The sequence below is a fragment of the Homo sapiens genome, chromosome 5 (assembly GCF_000001405.40).
Source record: "Homo sapiens chromosome 5, GRCh38.p14 Primary Assembly".
Taxonomy (NCBI): domain Eukaryota; kingdom Metazoa; phylum Chordata; class Mammalia; order Primates; family Hominidae; genus Homo; species Homo sapiens.
The window spans coordinates 65922156-65941314 of NC_000005.10; the positions used below are offsets into that span (position 1 = coordinate 65922156).

Sequence of the window (19159 nt, forward strand, 5' to 3'; positions counted from 1 at the left end):
AACAAAGATGAATTGTTGTTTGTGATTGCTGAACACTCTGATCATATACCTGCCATTTCACCCTTCTGTATGCACACAGATGCAGAATTCCAGAGAAAATACTTTTTAAACAGATTATTAAGGAAATATTTGACAAAATAGGTAACTACAGTTGACCTTTGACCACGCAGGGTTGACTGCATTGGTCAATGCAATTTTTTTTCAATAAATATATTGGACTTTTTTTTGAAGATTTGCAACAATTTGAAAAACTTGCAAACTGTGTAGCCTAGAAATACTGAAAATTTTTATATATGTCATGAATGCATAAAATATGTGTAGACACTAGTCTATTTTTATCATTTACTACCATAAAATATAAACAAACCTATCATAAAAAGTTAAAATTTATCAAAATGTAGGCACACACTTACAGACCAAACATGGTGCTATTTGTAGTGGGGAGAAATGTAAACAAATGTAAAGCTACAGTATTAAATCATAACTGCATAAAATTAACTGTCATGCAAACTGTACTACTGTAATAATTTCATAGCCACTGCTTGGTGCAATTGCAGCGAGCTTAAGTGTTGCCAGTATTCGCTTTAAGCTGTGTAATGCTAATCATCTCTGAGTGAGCAGTTCATCTCTCCAGTAAATTGCGTATTGCAGTAAAAAGTTCTCTCTCATGGTTCTCACGTATTTTCCATCATGTTTAGTGCAATACTGCAAAACTTTAATAACACTATGGCATCCATACGAAGCACCACTGGTGATGCTGGAAGTGTTCCCATGAAGCAAAGTCATGACATTACAAGAAAAAGTTGAACTGCTTGATATGTACCATAGACTGAGGCCTGCAGCTGAGGTTGCCTGGTATTTCAGACAGACAATTCATCTTGTAAACAGACAATGTAAACTTATGGTATGGACATAGTACATTACTGTGAATGTAGTTTCTCTTCCTTATGATTTTCTTAATAACATTTATTTCTCTACTTACTGTAGGAAGACAGTACATAATACATATAAGATACAAGCAATGTGTTAATCAACTGTTTTATGTTATCAGGCTTCTGGTCAGTAGTAGGCTTATTAGTAGTTGTTCAGTTTTGGGAGAGTCAAATGTTATATGCTCACATAGTTGGTTGGTGCCCCTAAATTCCATATTATTCAAGGGTCAACTGTATTGACAAGTGTATCCTGGATTCCATCCTCCTTTCTTGGTTTTGTAGAGACAAGGTCTCACCATGTTGTCCAGGCTGATCTTGAACCCCTAGGCTCAAGCAATCCTCCCGCCTCAGCCTCCAAAGTGCTGGGATTACAGGTGCGAGCCACTGCAACCGGCCAGATTCCATCCTCTTAAGGCCAGTGTATTAGGTGGCTCATTCTTACAGTATGAGTAAGCAGGACTTATTTAGCCATCAAAAGGGTCCTTTTATTGCCTGTAATCCTCTACTCTCTATATAACGCTCCAAGGAATGAGACTATATTTCCGTCTCCTATCAACTCAGCCTCAGCATATGTTATCTCTAGTTATCTCTATTTTTCCCTTCCAACAAAAGCTGCTTTGGGGAAACAATCTGATGAATTAGGTATAAATGACTAATAAGGATTAAAATATTACTTTTCCCAGGATTATGGTTTTGTGCTAGAGAAAAAAACTACTTAAAGGGATAAAACTCTAATGGCAGAATTTCAGGTGAGTTGGAGGGTTTTTGATTATAGGTACTTTTCTAGCCTAGATGGTAGTCTGTCAGATTGGTCCTGAGTGTGAGTATAAATTTTAAAAAGGCTAGGACCAGGGCAAGTCTTAGCCTAAAGCAGTGGCTTGATCAGTTAAGTTTAGAGAGGAGGGTTAGGTTTACTCGAATCTATGGCATCACATTTAAAGGGGTCTCGAATCAACCTGAGATTAGAAGCAACACTGGAATCCCAGAATCTAGCTGGTTTTCCACTAGTATGGGAGATATTCCATCCTGGGATGCTTTAGGAGAGTGACCCTTTCAGTTCAGAGCTATGCCACTGAGTTCTGATCAGGCGCAAAACGGTTTTTGAAAACGGAGCAAGAAATCTTCCCAGCGATGATTACAAATAGCTTGTACAATATGCTAACTTTAGCTTTTTATGCAATGGTTAAGATTCATTTTCACATAGATATCCAGCTTGGTAACACTGGCATAGCTGCTGCCATTTCCTAGCTTCCAGCGAATACTCTTACCTCTAATTCAGCACTGAATATATCTGAACACTTCAGTACTACCTGTAAATCTTCAACTTCTGCTGTATGCTAAATAACCTAACATCTGTATTAATTCCAGCAGTTCTTCAAGTAGTTAAAAATGCTCCCAACCTGAATAAAATGACTTGAATATCTTCGGCGTTATTTCAAGTGTTTGCAACTAATGTACAACTCATTTTGGTAAATGATTACTTGGTGGAATTTATGAACTCTTTCCATTGGCAAGCCAAAAAAAAAAAAAAAAAAAAGGTCTGTAGGGGATATAGCTCTTTATTCAAACTTGGTAATAAATAATTATCTCTAGAATACAGACGGAAGAACTGAACCAGGGACTTCAGGGACCCAGAGGCTAATTATCATCACTGTACACAGTTAAGTGCAGCAGAGAATGGGGGTGACGAATGGTTCGCTCCGCATTACGCTCCTTCTCTGGGTAAAACAAGGCCGTCTTTTCTGTGAACATATTTAAAGCAAGAACTGCAAAAACTGTGCAATGTTATGGTTGAGGCTTTCTATTTGCCATATGTGTTGACAGAATGCTTAAGAGTCTCTCTCCGCAATAAACGCGAACCCTGCCAGGCTGAATTATTAGGGCCAGCGCAATTCAACGACTGCACCACCACCGAACCGCTGGGGTTGGAAGCCTGCGTCGCATCGGAGCGTACCCATGTTTCTTCTAACAAAGGCACGATCTTGAGGCCATTTCGCGGGCCCTTTTCCCACTCCCAGCGCCAGCTTTGTCTCCCCGCCGGTATGAGGCTGAGACTTGGAGGAGGCTGAGCTGCGCCGCTGGGGAACAAGCTCGAAGGGCGGGCGTGGGAAGCTGCACCGCGCTGCCGCTGTGGTTTCCTGCGACCTGACCGTGCCATTAGAGGAAGTTGGAGTGCTGCAGCTGCAAGAGATACCTGCTGCCTTCAAATCAGGGCTGGACTCCAACAACCCCTGTGCACCGATTACTGTCGTACAAAGAAACTCCATCGGCCGGCGCGGCGGAGGCCTGTGGGCTCTCTATCTCTCTGGCTGGGCGCTGGGCCGCGAGCAGACAGCAGGGTCGGCGTTGCCAGCGTTCCCCACCCTGGGGGGCTCGGGAGTCCGGGAGTGCGGGGTCGGGGAGCGGGCAGGGAGCAGCGGGCAGGCCTCGAGGGGCCTGGGCCAGAGTGGGCCTCACGGCGCGCCTTGCACGCGAACCCACGGCCGCCGGCTGCCCCTCCCCCGGCCCCCGGCCCGCTGCCCCCAGCCGCCGACGTCGGCCCGCACCGCCCCCGCGCGCTGACTGGCCCGCGCAGGCCTCCTGCCCGGCTGTTGGCGGTTGGGGCGAAGCCGGCGGGAGGCCGCCCCGCCCCCGCCCCCGCCGCAGAGTCGCGGCGCGCAGCCTCTTCACCCGTCGCGGCCGGGGCGGTGGCGCTGTTGCCGCCGCGGCCTGTGAGGCAGTAACTCCCCTCCGCCCCTGCCCCATTCCTCCTCCTTTCTCTCCGCTCCCTCCGTCCTCCCTCCCCTCGCCGTCTCTCGCTCGAGTGAATGTGGCGCGGCGGCGCGGGACGCAGTCTCGGCCCCTGCCGCGGCCCCGCAAGCTCGTGAGGAGACGGAGCTGCCTCCTGCTCCCGCCCCCTGCGCGTCTCGGGGAGCCACCGCCGCTGGCGAAGGAGAACAAGCAGGGCAGCGGAGGGACGGTGGCGGGAAAACGGGAGAGGGAGGAGAAGAGGGTTCGAGGGCGAGTAGGGAAAGCGGGGAGGGACGGACGGAAGGACGGACGGCCCGACGGACGGCCCGGGGAGGGGGCCGCTATTGAGCCTGCCCGACTCCTCGGCTCCGGCTCCGGGTGGCGGCGGCAGCGGCGTCGCGGACGAAGGGCGCGGCAAGCGCTATCGAGACAATAACCCTGCCGCCCGGCTCTGGGGGCAACGGAGAGGAAGCGGTGGCGGCCTAGCGCGGCCGAGGCTCGCCGAGCGCCCGGGCAGCGTCCTCGCCCCCGCCGGCCGGGTGCTGCTGCCGTCCGGTGTGCCGGGCGCGCCGGTTGCCCGGAACCCGAGGCTCCCGGCGGCCGTCCCCTCCCCTCCCCCTCTCCGGTGCGCGCGGAGCTGGTTTTCCGGGTTCCCCTGGACGGAGCTGGATCCTGCTTCTCGCCAAGGCAGGAAGTGAGTTTCGCACTGCAATTCCGGGCGGTGTCACGAGTGAAAAGTTTTGTTTTTTTTTTTTTCGGCGGAGATCCTCGTTGGGGCTGGGAAACTCCTGCAAAACTCGAGACCAGGAAGCCAGCCCGCACCCCAACCCCCACCAAAGCCACCTACTCTTCTTCTGTGGGAGGCCAGTCCACATCCGCTCTCACCCGAGAGAGATATTCAGCTGGATCCAAAGTGACTGATGAAGGGAAGGAAATCATGTCAAGCGAAGCCTTGAAAAAGCTGCCCTGAGACGGTGTCCCGCCGAAAGGTAATTTTCACGAAAAGTGTCTCTGAGTCACAAAGTTCATGGGACTTTGTGACTCGGAAAAGAGATGATTCTTTAGTGTTTTTCACTCTTCTCCAAGTTGCCCTAAACCCTCCTTTTCTCATATCGAAGCGGTTAATAATTGAGGGGCTAAATAATCGAACTGCACCCCACCGCGTCCCTTCTCCCCCCTGCCCCCCCCACCATCTGGACTTTGAATTTTTTGGAAGAGGTTGTAAGAATGCGGTGGGACGAAAAGTTTTTAGTAATCCGAAGAACGATTGCCTTTGTTCAGCACAGGGGCCAGAAGTTTTGGCTTTCTGGAACGTATAGAGTGTATATTAAGTTGCTCAGCCAGGCACCTTCTGTTTGGGAAGAAAGTTTGGTCGCTGCAGTGAGTGATTTGCTGTTATTGAGATGGCTGCCGCGTTTGTTTATACTCATACCGATTATATTGGCGCTTGCGTTAATTGTATATAGAGGTATTTATTTTTATTTTTTTATTTCCAACCCTGATCAGTATATTTAGTTAGATTTTAGAAACCAAAAAATCTTGCCATTCTTAGTTGTTTTTCAGGGTGAGTAATATATTTCTTTAGTTGTGTGTAGTGTGTGTTTTTCAGACGTTTAGCGCCGTATAACTTGTTTAATTAATTGAAAGCAAGGATCGACTAGGCTTTTCTTGTAACTGATCCATTACGAAGAAAAAAGGAGTAAGGACTAAGAATAGGGAGAGATAATTAAACAACATTAACAACCTGTAAGACGTTTAATAGGACTTCTGTACAGTTCAGAACAGACGATGGGAGGGGAAGTAAAACGCTTAAAACGATTTTCAAGGGAATCACAGTGATTGTGATAAAAAGCTGTGCTTTTCGAGTAGTATGGTCTTTACATTTTTGTGTTGTCCCAAATGTTTTTGGTCGGTTCTGCATAAATAGTGATAGGTTCTGCCTACATCTGTGGGGGCAGGATTCATGAAGCATGGCAGACATTCCACCAGTCAGAGCTATGAACACTTCTGAACCAATGGGGACTAGTTTTGATAGCAGTAAACCCAAAGTTTTTTTCAGTGGTGTTTTAGTCTTTTTCTGTTTACTTTTTTTCCCGGTATTTTTGCGGTACAGGGAGGTGAAATACAATACTGTACTTTTGAATATATATTGAATAAATTTGGTAATCCTGTTGGTAGGTATATCCTAAATATATATTGATGTTTAGATTGCCTATGCTGTCTCACGTAATGACCGGAAACCCGAGGAGAGAGTTGATTTTCTTTAGTTCAAAGAGAAAAAATAAGTTTTAAAGATCAGGATCAAATTATTTCACAATTTGTTCTTTGCTACTTCAGCTTCATTAAGTACATCTCCAAAGGCAGTCCTTTATTTATTACTGTAGTTTTGATTTTTTTTTTCCTCCCCGGGGCATGGTCTCAGGAGATTCTTTTTTTTTTTCATTGTTGGTAAGATTTGTGAACCATGGAATAATTCTTGTTAAGTCAAACTAGCTTTATCAAAGAATTTAAAGTGCATAACTCATCTACTTTATGATTTTGGAACGTATCATTAGGCTGCAAAAGAGGTTATTCTTGGGCATCTGAAAGAGGTGAACAAAATAAATGGCATTGAACTTCAGTTTCCTTATATGGCTTATACTTGGCTTCAAAAGCAACAAAACCTTAATAGAGCAAGTCCCTTACAGAGAATTATCGCTTTATGAAGATGGTTATTTATTAGTAAATTTTGTATAAAAAAAGTATTGTAGCACTTGAAAATGACTATTTAAGCCTCTATTTTTAGATTTAGTTCTTGATTTTTTTTCTCAGGAGAAGAGTAGTATGTTTCGATGCAGACAACACGTTTTATGAAGTGAGGTGTTCACCTTTGTGTTTCTTTTTTTTCTCCTCAACAAGGCATAATTTACTTCGTAGTTTTCTTGGAATTCTGTTAGTTTATCACCGAATTAACTTAAATTTTAGGTTTTATACTATTGTGAAACTATAAGTATTTTCGAAGCTTTGTTTAAACTGTGACAAAGGTTTGAAAAGAGGTTAATAGAGGAGTCATCCGTTAAAATATTTTTAAATGGCTTCAAAATTTGGATATTCTTCTAGTATGGTGTGGATTTTCAAAGATTAAATTGGCAAATAGAGAGTACTTCCAAAGTCTATATTGCACAAAATACACACTTAAAGGCTCTGTTTATTGAAGGTAATCATGAATTTTCAGGACTTCAACTGATTCAAGTAGTACTGTTACGAGGTCTCCTTGCCATTTGAGATCAAACTATTGTAAACTTTATGTATAAAAAGCTTACAGAGGTACAAACATGGAAACCAAATTTTTATTGTATGCTGTTTCTTAATGAAGTGATAACTATAGATACATTAACATATATCATTGGCAAATCTCAAAAATCGATTATTTTACACATTGTTGGTATTGCACTATTAGTAGTAAATAATACCCTTTAAGAAATAGTTAAAAGTTTCAGAAAATAGGTGTATATTTCAAAATTACTTATTTGAAATAATTGCTTACGGATAATACGATTTAGACTTTAAGCTGCTTTTGTTTTGGAAATAGATTATGGCAGTACTTACAGAGTATTTGGGATTATGCAGAATTTTAGTGATGCTGGGTAGCAGTTTCTTTTTTATTTTTCGTAATTGCTGCTTATCCAGATTCTCCTTACATACCCTACTTGGCTGCTTGCATTTTGACTCTTTGCCTTGCTCATTCATTTCTTGAATTTGTTACATGCTTGCTTCCGTTTTCTTTTTCTGGGAATACATCTCTATTATAAACCTCTAAAGATGTCTTTGTCTTTTCCTCTTTTTTTTTTTTTTTTTTTTCGAGATGGAGTCTTGCTCTGTTGCCTAGGCTGGAGTGCAGTGGCACAATCTCGACTCACCACAACCTCCACCTCCCGGGTTCCAGCGATTCTCCTGCTTCAGCCTCCCAAGTAGCTGGGATTACAAGCGCACATCATCATGCCTAGCTAATTTTTGTATTTTTAGTAGAGACAGGTTTTGCCATGTTGGCCAGGCTGGTCTCGAACTCCCGACCTCAGGTGATCTGCCCACCTTGGCCTACCGAAGTGCTGGGATTACAGGTGTGAGCCACTGAGCCCGGCCTACTGCTAACTCCCATTTTTCAGATTCACTTTTTAGCTGTCTCTTCTTAGGTTTCCTAATTGTAAAAAAGAAACTTAGCTGCTATTCAGCTTTCTCTTCTGATTCCCTTAGCTTCCTATATTTATAGTTAGCTTCATTTACCTAGCCTTATTTTCTCTGTGTTCAGTTGGTCGTTCTTAATTATATTTTGCCATTTCCCTCTTTTCCAAACTGTTAGTCTATGTTTATCACCTCAAAAAACTGTTCAAAACATGCAGTGGAAAAAGTTTATCTGATCTTATTTTATTAGCCCATTTAATTCTGAATATCCCCTTTGCATTTCAACTAAGTGTACATGCTGGTATTTTAACTTTATATTCATCAGTATATTGCTTTGTTTATTTTGAGATGGAGTCTTGCTCTGTCGCCCAGGCTGGAGTGCAGTGGCAAGATTTTGGCCCACTGCAAGCTGCGCCTCCCCCAGGTTCACGCCATTCTCCTGCCTCAGCCTCCCGAGTAGCTGGGACTAGAGGCGCCCGCCACTGTGCCCGGCTAATTTTTTTGTATTTTTAGTAGAGACGCGGTTTCACCGTGTTAGCCAGGATGGTCTTTATCTCCTGACCTCGTGATCTGCCCACCTCGGCCTCTCAAAGTGCTGGGATTACAGGCATGAGCCACCGCTCCCGGCCATTGTTTGTTTTATACTTTGTTTTCTCAGTTTTCCTTTTTCTCTTTAGTGTTCTTAAAATTGACTGTTAAGATAATACCAGGTTGTTATTTATTCTTATGTATTAAGACTTTGTAACCCTCTCTACCTTCTTGTTTTATTATACTTTTGGCCTCTTAAAACATACAGATATATTTCTCTGTTCCTTCTTCTCTGTACCTTCCTCTTCTGTCCTACCTTTCAAGTTAGATGTCTTCTCTGACACAGAATCCCTAAAATTTTGAAATTATCTTTCTTTGATTTCATGAAATAAGCACAATAGTACTCTATCACTCTATTTTTGTCACTTCAAATTTTGTTCCAGACACCATTGAATGAAGGTCTTGCCAGGCTTTAAGTGATAGTGTGGAAGACGATAGAAAAGGAGAATATCTAAAAATTCACTTTGTGGAAGACGATAGAAAAGGAGAATATCTAAAAATTCACTTAATAAGACTCTACTTATCTGGAGGTTATTTATTATAGCTTTAAAAGCATATTGAATGTAGTAGAAAAACTAGAAAATAAAAAATGACATCTCCTTAATCACAACAGGTATGACAGAGTCTGGGGACTTCACTTTTAGGGCCATTATTATTCAGAGCCCATTTACTTATGTACATAATGAGCTGTTTTTGGTTCTTTGGTATCCCAGAAGGCGTGAGAAAGGTACGTTTACAGCATTGTGAAGTTATGACCTGTGGTGTTACAGTGAAGCAATAGAAAAATGGAAAGATGACTGAATAACTTAGAAAATAATCTGGGACAACTTACTTTGAGGCTAAGTGCCTTGTACATTTCATTTCCCTGTAGGAGGATTCACTCTGTTATAATATGGTATAATTACAAGAAATAGTAATAGTCCTAAGGCAGCTGTTCTCAGACTTTTTGGTTTGACTCAAAACAGAAATTAAAAAAAATTAATTTATTTGAAAATAAGCTATTGCATGTTAGTGTAACATTGTTTTAATAAAAATATAATTGTTTTCTAAAATAAATAGCAAAAATAGTGGCAATGTTTTATATTTTTGCAAGTCTCTTATGTTTGGCTTAATAGAAAACAGCTCGATTCTCATATCTGCTTCTTCACTCCATCTGTTACAGTATGTTCTTTTGGCTAAAGTATATGAAGAAAATCCAGCCTTATACAGGTATTTGGTTGGAAAAGGGAGGAAGATTTTCTTTCTTTTCTTTCTTTTTTTTTTTTTTTTTGAGATGGAGTTTGCTCTTGTTGCCCAGACTGGAGTGCAGTGGTGCAGTCTCGGCTCACCGCAGCCTCTGCCTCCCGGGTTTAAGCGATTCTCTTGCCTCAGCCTCCTGAGTAGCTGGGATTACAGGCATGCGCCACCATGTCCAGCTAATTTTGTATTTTTTGTAGAGACAGGGTTTCTCCACGTTGGTCAGGCTGGTCTTGAACTCCTGACCTCAGGTGATCTGCCCGCCTCGGCCTCCCAAAGTGCTGGGATTACAGGCGTGAGCCACCGCGCAAAGTGCTGGTCACAAGGTCAGGAGATCAAGACCATGGACAACACAGTGAAACCCTGTCTCTACTAAAATACAAAAAATTAGCTCGGTGTGGTCACAAACGCCTGTAATCCCAGCTACTCAGGAGGCTGAGGCAGGAGAATTGCCTGAACTCGGGAGGTGGAGGTTGCAGTGAGCCGAGATCGCGCCACTGCATTCCAGCCTGGCGACAGAGCAAGACTCCGTCTCAAAAAAAAAAAAAAAAAAAGACATAAACCTGGGAATATGTAGTGGTACTATTGCAGCTTGAAGGCATTGCCTTTGTTCTTGTAAAGGTGTTAGCTGTTGCAACCATTGCTTTTGCAACATCAGTGTAAAATGTAAATATAATGGAAAAGGGAAAAATGACATTTCAATATTATAAACACAGTTTTGACCTGGAAGGTTCCTTGAAAGTGTCTCAGGGACTTCCAGAGACTGTGGACTTCCAGGGCCTATGGACTGCACTTCAAGAACTTAGGTGGAAGTTGGGATTTATGGAACTTTCATTAATTAAATTTTTTTTCTTGTCTGTTCGTATTGGATTCTGGGAGAGTGTTGAAGCTTGATCTTTAAGCCCACTTACTTGATTTTCATTTGTTTTCAGTTATTTTGTTACTTGTTTTTGGAACAGAGTTTCTAAGAATTCTAGTTTTTCATAGGAGTTATTTTTGTTTTTATTTTTTTGAGACAGGATCTCACTGTGTTGCCCAGGCTGGAGTGCAGTGGCATACTCACGGCTCACTGCAGCCTCGGACTCCTGGGCTCAAGCTATCCTGTCACCTCACCTTCAGCCGAGACTATAGGCATGCACCACCATGCCCGGCTAATGTTTTATTTTTTTTTGTAGAGATGGGTTCTTGCTCTGTTGTTCAGGCTGGTCTTGAACTCCTGGCCTCAAGCAGTCCTCCCTCCTTGGTCTCCCAAAGTGCTGGGATTATGGCATGAGCCGCTGCACCTGGCCCAATTTTGGTTTTCTAGCCCTATTTTTGGTCTGCATGTAACCTTTAATCTCTGAGATGTTCTTTTAACATTGTCTTTTGTTTATTCTACTAACACTACAGAAAATTTGATCTTACTGTGCTTTTGGTGTATGTCATGCTTTTTGTTTTTTCTTCAAATACTAGATTTTCATGGTAGTCAAAGTTTTATATGATGACCTAGTCTCTACTGTATTGGTCATTTAAATATATGTTCCCAGCCCAATGAATCCTTCTTCTGGCTTTGGTGATTGCTTAGAAGAGGAAAGGGAGAAATATTTAACGAGTTTCTCTTTGAAGGTATGTGGGTAGCTTGACCTTTTGGTACAGGTGCTTACTGTTCCTCAGGAGGCAGTCTCCTTTTTTCATAATCACACTGTCCAAGTGTCACATCTCCTACATACATAGAGCTGTACTAGAGGCTTTAGCTACACAGTGTTTTACTATGGTTTTGCTCTCTGGCTGACCGCTCAGGATATGCTTCTCTTAATCCTTCTTGCTAAGAAAACTCATCTTTTTTGGAGATCCCACTTTCTTCTTGTTTTGGGTGTCTGGTTCCTCAAGTGTATTGCATTTTGTTATTTCCCCGACCCCAGCCTACTTTGTATTCTTTATAAATTCCGTTCTGTTCTTATCTGTAGGTATACCCCTCCCAGGTTTTCAGCACTGCTATAGATATTTTTAAATTAAATTTTAATTTTTGAAACAATGACTGACATATGGAAAAGTTTGAACATTTTTTTTCCTGAACCATTTGACTAAGTTGCTAACATGATGCCCTGTCGTCATCCCTAAATATATATTTTTTTTTATTTGAGAGCTCTGTCGCCCAGGCTGGAGTGCAGTGGCGTGATCTTGGCTCACTGCAAGCTCCACCTCCTGGATTCACGCCAGTTCTCCTGCCTCAGCCTCCCAAGTAGCTGAGACTATAGACGCCCGCCACCACGCCTGGCTAATTTTTTGTATTTTTAGTAGAGATGGGGTTTCACCGTGTTAGCCAGGGTGGTCTTGATCTCCTGATGTCATGATTTGCCTGCCTTGGCCTCCCAAAGTGCTGGGACTACAGGCGTGAGCCACCGCGCCCAGCCCGTCACCCCTAAATATTTTAATGTTTATTTCCTACAAACAAGGATATTCTCCTGCATATAATGACATCATTACCATCAAAATCAGAAAGTAAACATGAATATATTACTAACATCTGAACCTCAATTATCCCAATAATGTGTTTTACAGCAAACTATTCCAGTTTGGAATCATGTGTTACATTTTGTTGTCATCTCTTTATTCTCCTTCAATCTGGAATAATTTCTTTCTCTTTTTTTTCAAGGCCTTGACACTTTTGAAGATCTGAAGATGACAGGCCTAGTTATTCTGTAGAATACCCCTCAATTTTCATTTGTGTGATATTTTTCATGATTAGATCTTTGATTAGATTTTTATGATTAGATCTTTGGCAGGGTTATTGTAAAAGTGATGCTGCATTCTTCTTATTACGTCTTATCAGGTGGCAGGCAATTTCAGTGTGTCCTATTATGGTATTCACTTTATGTGATTAAAGTTGTGGCTGCCAGACTTGCCCTTTTTAAGGTATTCATTCCCTGTTTGTAATTAACTAATATTTTGCGGTAGGTGCTTTGAAACTATGTAAATATTTTGTTTTGTTTGTCATATTTTAAATTCACTTATTTACATGTACCTAGGTTTATCTTCGCAAGGACATAATGCATTACTATTTATTTTGGTGCTCAAATTGTTCTTGATTGGCCAGTGAGAACCCCCTGGCTTATTTTCTTTTTTGTTTTTGATACCTCTTCCTTTTTTGAGTACTCCTTGTTTTTTAGCACAATTAGATGTTCTAACATATCTTCTACTTTTCCTGGTTGTTTTTAGTGGAAAATGATACTTAGAAGCCAAGATCTGGGGCTTGTGTACATTGTTGTTTTTAGGGTATTGTTACTCTCAGGCCCTCTTCATATACAAAGCTAGGAAATATTTTTATGTACTTACACATATTTACATCTATTTTTATTTATATATCTATAAATATATACAATGGTCCCTGATTTATACTTCTTTGACTTTACCAGGGGTTTTATTGGGGTACTAAGTGCATTTTCAACCTGTGATATTTTTGGCTTAAATGATGGGTTTATCCAGATGTAAACCCATTGTAAATCGAGGAGCATCTGCATATTTCTATAATGCAATTCTAATCCAGCACCACCAGGTTCACTCTAAGTTGTTTTTTTTCCCCTTTCCATACTTGTAACTTATCTCTAACAGTGAGAAATAGTTTTGTTTCCATATGTTATGTGTGTGAGGAAGTTAAGGTAAACATTTGTTCAAACATTTTTGAGCCAGAAGTGTCTGCAGTCCAATTAATTTCTGAAGTATTTCTAAAGAGATAAAATTCCAAACTGTAAAAAGGCAAGTTTTAATTCCGTGATAAAGTACATTTATGTGAAATATTTCATTCCTTAGTAATTCTTGAGGCGACTGTGAAAGGAGGATGGAAGAAATCCAGTACTTTTACTCTTTACATTGGACAAGTTATTTGTGGAGATAATTGCTCAATTTCAGTATGAGTGCAGTGATTTTGATGCAGTTGTGTTTTTCTTTTTTATTCTTTTTTGGAGAAGGGTCTCGCTCTGTCGCCCAGGCTGTAGTGCAGTGGCATGATCACTGCTCACTGCAGCTTTGAACTCATGGCCTCAATCAATCCTTTCACCTCAGCATCCTGAGTAGCTGAGACTACAGGCATATGCCACCACGCCCAGCTAATTTTTCTATTTTTTATAGAGGTAGAGGTCTTACTATGTTGCCAGGATTGGTCTCCAGCTCCTGGGCTTGAGTGATCCTTCCACCTCGAACCTCCCAAAGTACTGGGATTACAGGTGTGAGCCACTGCACCCAGCTGTGGTTTTCATATATTCAGGTTATATTGTTTGCATGATCCTGAAGTCTTGAAGCACCTAATAATGGTGTTCTTGGAATTTCACACCTTAGGTCACTCTAGACTCTTTGTGGGAGCATGGAGGGAGGTCTGATGGAGGGGGGGTGGGGAGAGGAGGGTATGTTTGTAGTAGGACCAGTGCAAGAAACTAGTGATCTAAAAATGAATCTTGTTGCCAAGGTTATCACACAACCTAGAATAAGTTGGTTTGACTTTCCTCTTCCTTATAGATTTTGGAAGTGATTTAAGAGGCATATCCTTTGAGACTAGAATAAATCTCTCAGTCTTCTAGGAAAAGATAAGGATCTTGGCAGCATCAAATGGATCCTTTGGGTGCCCTATTAATCCCTGGGGACTTCAGAAGATTTAGTTTATTGTCTTGATGCTGACTGCAAAATAGCAGGGACTGTATATAGTAGATGCTTTTTGATTTGTCGTGGATACCTGGTATCAACAGAGGGTCCTGTCTGCTCTTTTAAAAGCCATTCCCAAGCCAGGGACCCTAGGAGTCATCTTTATTTTCCTGACCTTAGTAATTGAAATTTCTGTCGATTCTGTCTTACAAATGTCTACAGAGTGAGACACTTTAGGGTAGGATAGGAAGGCTGGATAAGGTGAAGGGCTTTTGATAGGCAGAGGGTAAAAACAATTACCTTAATCTGTTTTTTCCCCAATTATAAAAATAATCTTGCTGTAAAAATTCAAACATAGAAATATAGAACATAGAAGATGAAAATTCTCCACAATTCCATCTCCCAGATATACTCCGGTATGTGTAGTTAAAATTGATAGCTAGCTAGAATCAAATTCCCTCTGAAGAGTGTGTATCAATTTGTACTTCCATCAATGGTATATAAAATTACCTGTATGCATTTTTGACCAAAATGGGTATTGGTTGTCTTATAATACTTGTGGACATCTGAGAGAGGCAATATAGTATAGTATGTAAGAACATAAGTTTTGGAGTCAGATTGCCTGGATTTAAATCCACGACTTACTAATTATGACATTGAAAAATTAAATGTCAATTCTTTTAGGTATAGTACATATACAGTGTGCCTTTTGTGTTCTACATGGTTTTTATTGATGTGTTGCTTATCCTTATGCATTGGCTCTGGTGTTTGCCATATGGATGCTTAAATTTTAATGTAATCAAATTTGTCAGTCTCTTTATGCCTTTTGGTTTTAATGTTATTATTGGAAAGTATTTGCACCAAGATTATAAAAGTAATAACCTAGCTTTTTAAATTTTGGCTTAAGGAGTGAAAAAATAATCTAGCTTTATGCTCCCCAAATTTCTAACTAGTTGTAGTGCCGTTTGTTGAATAATCGTTTTACTTCTGAAAGTCTGCCTTTATCAATAGTAAATCCCCAAATATGTTTATACTATGTCAGGATTTTCTTTTTTTTATTTGTTGTGTTTTTTATGATACTATGCTATTTTGACCTCTCTCCCCTTCATTGTATATTTAATATCTGGAAGTGTTGCTTTGTTACTCTGCTTTTAAATGAATTTTCCAGGTGGACATGAATCATTTTTATCAGCTTCTAAAAATAATTCTTGGCCGGGTGCGGTGGCTCATGCCTGTAATCCCAGCACTTTGGGAGGCCGAGGCGGGCGGATCACGAGGTCAGGAGATCGAGACCATCCTGGCTAACACGGTGAAACCCTGTCTCTACTAAAAATACAAAAAAATTAGCGGGGTGTGGTAGCAGGCGCCTGTAGTCCCAGCTACTCGGGAGGCTGAGGCAGGAGAATGGCATGAACCCGGGAGGCGGAGCTTGTAGTGAGCCGAGATCGTGCCACTGCACCCAGCCTGGGGGACTGAGCTAGACTCCCATCTCAAAATAATAATAATAATAATTCTTGGTGGTATGTTGATTGAGAGGGTCTGCATTTGTAGATTAATTTAGAAGATCATTGATAACTTTACGATAGCATATCTCTTTCTAGGAAGATAGATTTCCCATTTATTTGATGTTTGATGCCCTTTAGTGGCATTTATGATTTTCATCTTGTCATATCTGTGTTTCTTGTTGATACGCATATTTGTTATTTTTAAGAAACCATATATTTTTGTTATATTTATTTCTAAAAACATTTTGGAGGGAGGGCAAGGGCTTCTGTTTTTATGAGGCTATTTCATCAATTGCATTATTATCTGGCTATTTAAATAAAGGAAGCAATTGAGTTTCATGTTTATTATCTACTATAGTGATGACTTTTGAAGAATTGCTTTTAGTATTTTAGTTGATATGTTTGTATTTTCTGGGTGTATAGTAATAGATTCGTGAGCAGGCATAGGTCTTTTTTTTTTTTTTTTTTGAGACAGGGTCTCGCTCTGTCACTCAGGCTGGAGTCAGTGGTGTGATCATAGCTCACTGCAGCCTTGACCTCCTGGGCTGAAGTGACAGGTGTGCACAACCCAGTTTGCATATTTATTTGTAGAGATGTGGTCCCACTCCGTTGCCCAGGCTAGGGCTGATTCTGTTTTGTTTTTTTTCTTGAGACGGAGTCTTCCTCTGTCACCCAGGCTGGATTGCAGTGGCGCAATCTGGGCTCATTGCAACCTCCACCTCCTGGGTTCAAGCGATTCTTCTGCCTCAGCCTTCCAAGTAGCTGGGACTACAGGTGCACGCCATCATGCCTGGCTAATTTTTGTATTTTTAGTAGAGACGGGGTTTCACCATATTGGCCAGGCTGATCTCGAACTCCTGACCTTATGATCTGCCTGCCTCAGCCTCCCAAAGTGCCGGGATTACAGCTGTGAGCCACCGCGCCCGGCCAGGACTGATTCTTTTAAGTAGAAATTGGTCCCTGCTACTACTCTTCTGCCCCTTGAAGGTGTCATCAGTCATATGAGAATGGCCTCTTCAACCTTGTTGTTCCTGAACTGGATTTTTATTTATCTCTAAGAAATTAATACTAATTATAAACATTTTCTTTGAACTGCTTAGTATTTAGTGTGATGTACAGTAATAGAGCTGGCCCGCTTTATCCATGGGTTACATATGTATGGATTTTGTAGTCATGAATTCAACCAATCATGAATTGAAAATAATTTGAGAAGAAAATCAATAAAAAAATACAATAGCCAGGCATGGTGGCTCACACCTGTAATCCCAGCACTTTGGGAGGCTGAGGCGGGTGGATCACGAGGCCAGGAGGTGGAGACCAGCCTGACCAGTATGGTGAAATCCCATCTCTACTAAAAATACGAAAATTAGCCGAGTGTGGTGGCGTGTGCCTGTAGTCCCAGCTACTTGGGAGGCTGAGGCAGAAGAATTGCTTGAACCCGGGGGGCAGAGGTTGCAGTGAGCCGAGGTTGCGCCACTGCATTCCAGCCTGGGCAACAGGATGAGACTCCATCTCCAAAACAAACACCAATAAAGAACAATACAGATCCAGCCCAGCATCTTCACCAAGAGAGGTGCCTCCGCTCTCCCTCTCCCTCTCCCTTTCCCTCTCCCCCCTCTCCCTCTCCCCACGGTCTCCCTCTCCCTCTCTTTCCACGGTCTCCCACTGATGCCGAGCCGAAGCTGGACTGTACTGCTGCCATCTCGGCTCACTGCAGCCTCCCTGCCTGATTCTCCTGCCTCAGCCTGCCGAGTGCCTGCGATTGCAGGCGTGCGCCACCACGCCTGACTGGTTTTCCTATTTTTTTGGTGGAGACGGGGTTTCGCTGTGTTGGCCGGGCTGGTCTCCAGCTCCGAACTGCGAGTGATCCGCCAGCCTCGGCCTCCCGAGGTGCCGGGATTGCAGACGGAGTCTGGTTCACTCAGTGCTCAATGGTGCCCAGGCTGGAGTGCAGTGGCGTGATCTCGGCTCGCTACAACCTCCACCTCCCAGCCGCCTGCCTTGGCCTCCCAAAGTGCCAAGATTGCAGCCTCTGCCCGGCCGCCACCCCGTCTGGGAAGTGAGGAGCGTCTCTGCCTGGCCGCCCATCGTCTGGGACGTGAGGAGCCCCTCTGCCTGGCTACCCAGTCTGGAAAGTGAGGAGCGTCTCTGCCCGGCCGCCATCCCATCTAGGAAGTGAGGAGCGCCTCTTCCCGGCCGCCATCCCATCTAGGAAGTGAGGAGCGTCTCTGCCCGGCCGCCCATCGTCTAAGATGTGGGGAGCGCCTCTGCCCCGCCGCCCCGTCTGGGATGTGAGGAGCGCCTCTACCCGGCCGTGACCCCGTCTGGGAGGTGAGGAGCGTCTCTGCCCAGCCGCCCCGTCTGAGAAGTGAGGAGACCCTCCGCCTGGCAACCGCCCCATATGAGAAGTGAGGAGCCCCTCCGCCCGGCAGCCACCCCGTCTGGGAAGTGAGGAGCATCTCCGCCCGGCAGCCACCTCGTCCGGGAGGGAGGTGGGGGGGTCAGCCCCCCGCCCGGCCAGCTGCCCCGTCCGGGAGGGAGGTGGGGGGGTCAGTCCCCCCCCCCCCGGCCAGCCGCCCCGTCTGGGAGGGAGGTGGGGGGGGTCAGCCCCCTGCCCGGCCAGCCGCCCCGTCCGGGAGGTGAGGGGCGCCTCTGCCCGGCCGCCCCTACTGGGAAGTGAGGAGCCCCTCTGCCCGGCCAGCCGCCCCGTCCGGGAGGGAGGTGGGGGGTCAGCCCCCCGCCCGGCCAGCCGCCCGGTCCGGGAGGGAGGTGGGGGGGTCAGCCCCCCGCCCGGCCAGCCGCCCCGTCCGGGAGGTGAGGGGCGCCTCTGCCCGGCCGCCCCTACTGGGAAGTGAGGAGCCCCTCTGCCCAGCCACCACCCCGTCTGGGAAGTGTACCCAACAGCTCATTGAGAACGGGCCATGATGACAATGGCGGTTTTGTGGAATAGAAAGGGGGGAAAGGCGGGGAAAGGATTGAGAAATTGGATGGTTGCCATGTCTGTGTAGAAAGAGGTAGACACGGGAGACTTTTCATTTTGTTCTGTACTAAGAAAAATTCTTCTGCCTTGTGATCCTGTTGATCGGTGACCCTACCCCCAACCCTGTGCTCTCTGAAACATGTGCTGTGTCCACTCAGGGTTAAATGGATTAATGGTGGTGCAAGATGTGCTTTGTTAAACAGATGCTTGAAGGCAGCATGCTCATTAAGAGTCATCACCACTCCCTAATCTCAAGTACCCAGGGACACAAACACTGTGGAAGGCCGCAGGGTCCTCTGCATATGAAAACCAGAGACCTTTGTTCACTTGTTTATCTGCTGACCCTCCCTCCACTATTGTCCTATGACCCTGCCAAATCCTCCTCTGTGAGAAACACCCAAGAATGATCAATA

General features: G+C 43.8%; 1 protein-coding gene across 18 annotated transcripts in view, besides 6 other annotated features; it reads left to right on the forward strand.

Moving 5' to 3' along the window:
- Positions 2520–3144: an enhancer, noted in NCBI's record as "H3K27ac hESC enhancer chr5:65220503-65221127 (GRCh37/hg19 assembly coordinates)". NCBI's record gives its function as "activates a minimal SCP1, AML or CMV promoter by ChIP-STARR-seq in primed H9 embryonic stem cells {active_cell/tissue: H9 hESC(primed)}" and the evidence as "EXISTENCE:reporter gene assay evidence [ECO:0000049][PMID:30033119]".
- Positions 2644–2863: an enhancer, noted in NCBI's record as "active region_22611". NCBI's record gives its function as "activates an Ori minimal core promoter by ATAC-STARR-seq in GM12878 lymphoblastoid cells {active_cell/tissue: GM12878}" and the evidence as "EXISTENCE:reporter gene assay evidence [ECO:0000049][PMID:35858748]".
- Positions 3184–4273: a silencer, noted in NCBI's record as "silent region_16061". NCBI's record gives its function as "represses an Ori minimal core promoter by ATAC-STARR-seq in GM12878 lymphoblastoid cells {active_cell/tissue: GM12878}" and the evidence as "EXISTENCE:reporter gene assay evidence [ECO:0000049][PMID:35858748]".
- Positions 3184–4393: a biological region, named in NCBI's record as "NANOG-H3K27ac-H3K4me1 hESC enhancer GRCh37_chr5:65221752-65222376".
- Positions 3769–4393: an enhancer, noted in NCBI's record as "NANOG-H3K27ac-H3K4me1 hESC enhancer chr5:65221752-65222376 (GRCh37/hg19 assembly coordinates)". NCBI's record gives its function as "activates a minimal SCP1, AML or CMV promoter by ChIP-STARR-seq in naive H9 embryonic stem cells {active_cell/tissue: H9 hESC(naive)}" and the evidence as "EXISTENCE:reporter gene assay evidence [ECO:0000049][PMID:30033119]".
- Positions 4354–4573: an enhancer, noted in NCBI's record as "active region_22612". NCBI's record gives its function as "activates an Ori minimal core promoter by ATAC-STARR-seq in GM12878 lymphoblastoid cells {active_cell/tissue: GM12878}" and the evidence as "EXISTENCE:reporter gene assay evidence [ECO:0000049][PMID:35858748]".
- ERBIN (erbb2 interacting protein) overlaps positions 4420–19159 on the forward strand; it is a 155972-nt gene continuing 141232 nt past the window's right edge. For all 18 annotated transcript variants that reach the window (XM_047417376.1, XM_047417378.1, XM_047417380.1 and 15 more), the window contains exon 1: positions 4420–4651. The gene's annotated coding sequence lies outside the window, so the exon portion shown is untranslated. The remainder of the gene's footprint in view (positions 4652–19159) is intronic.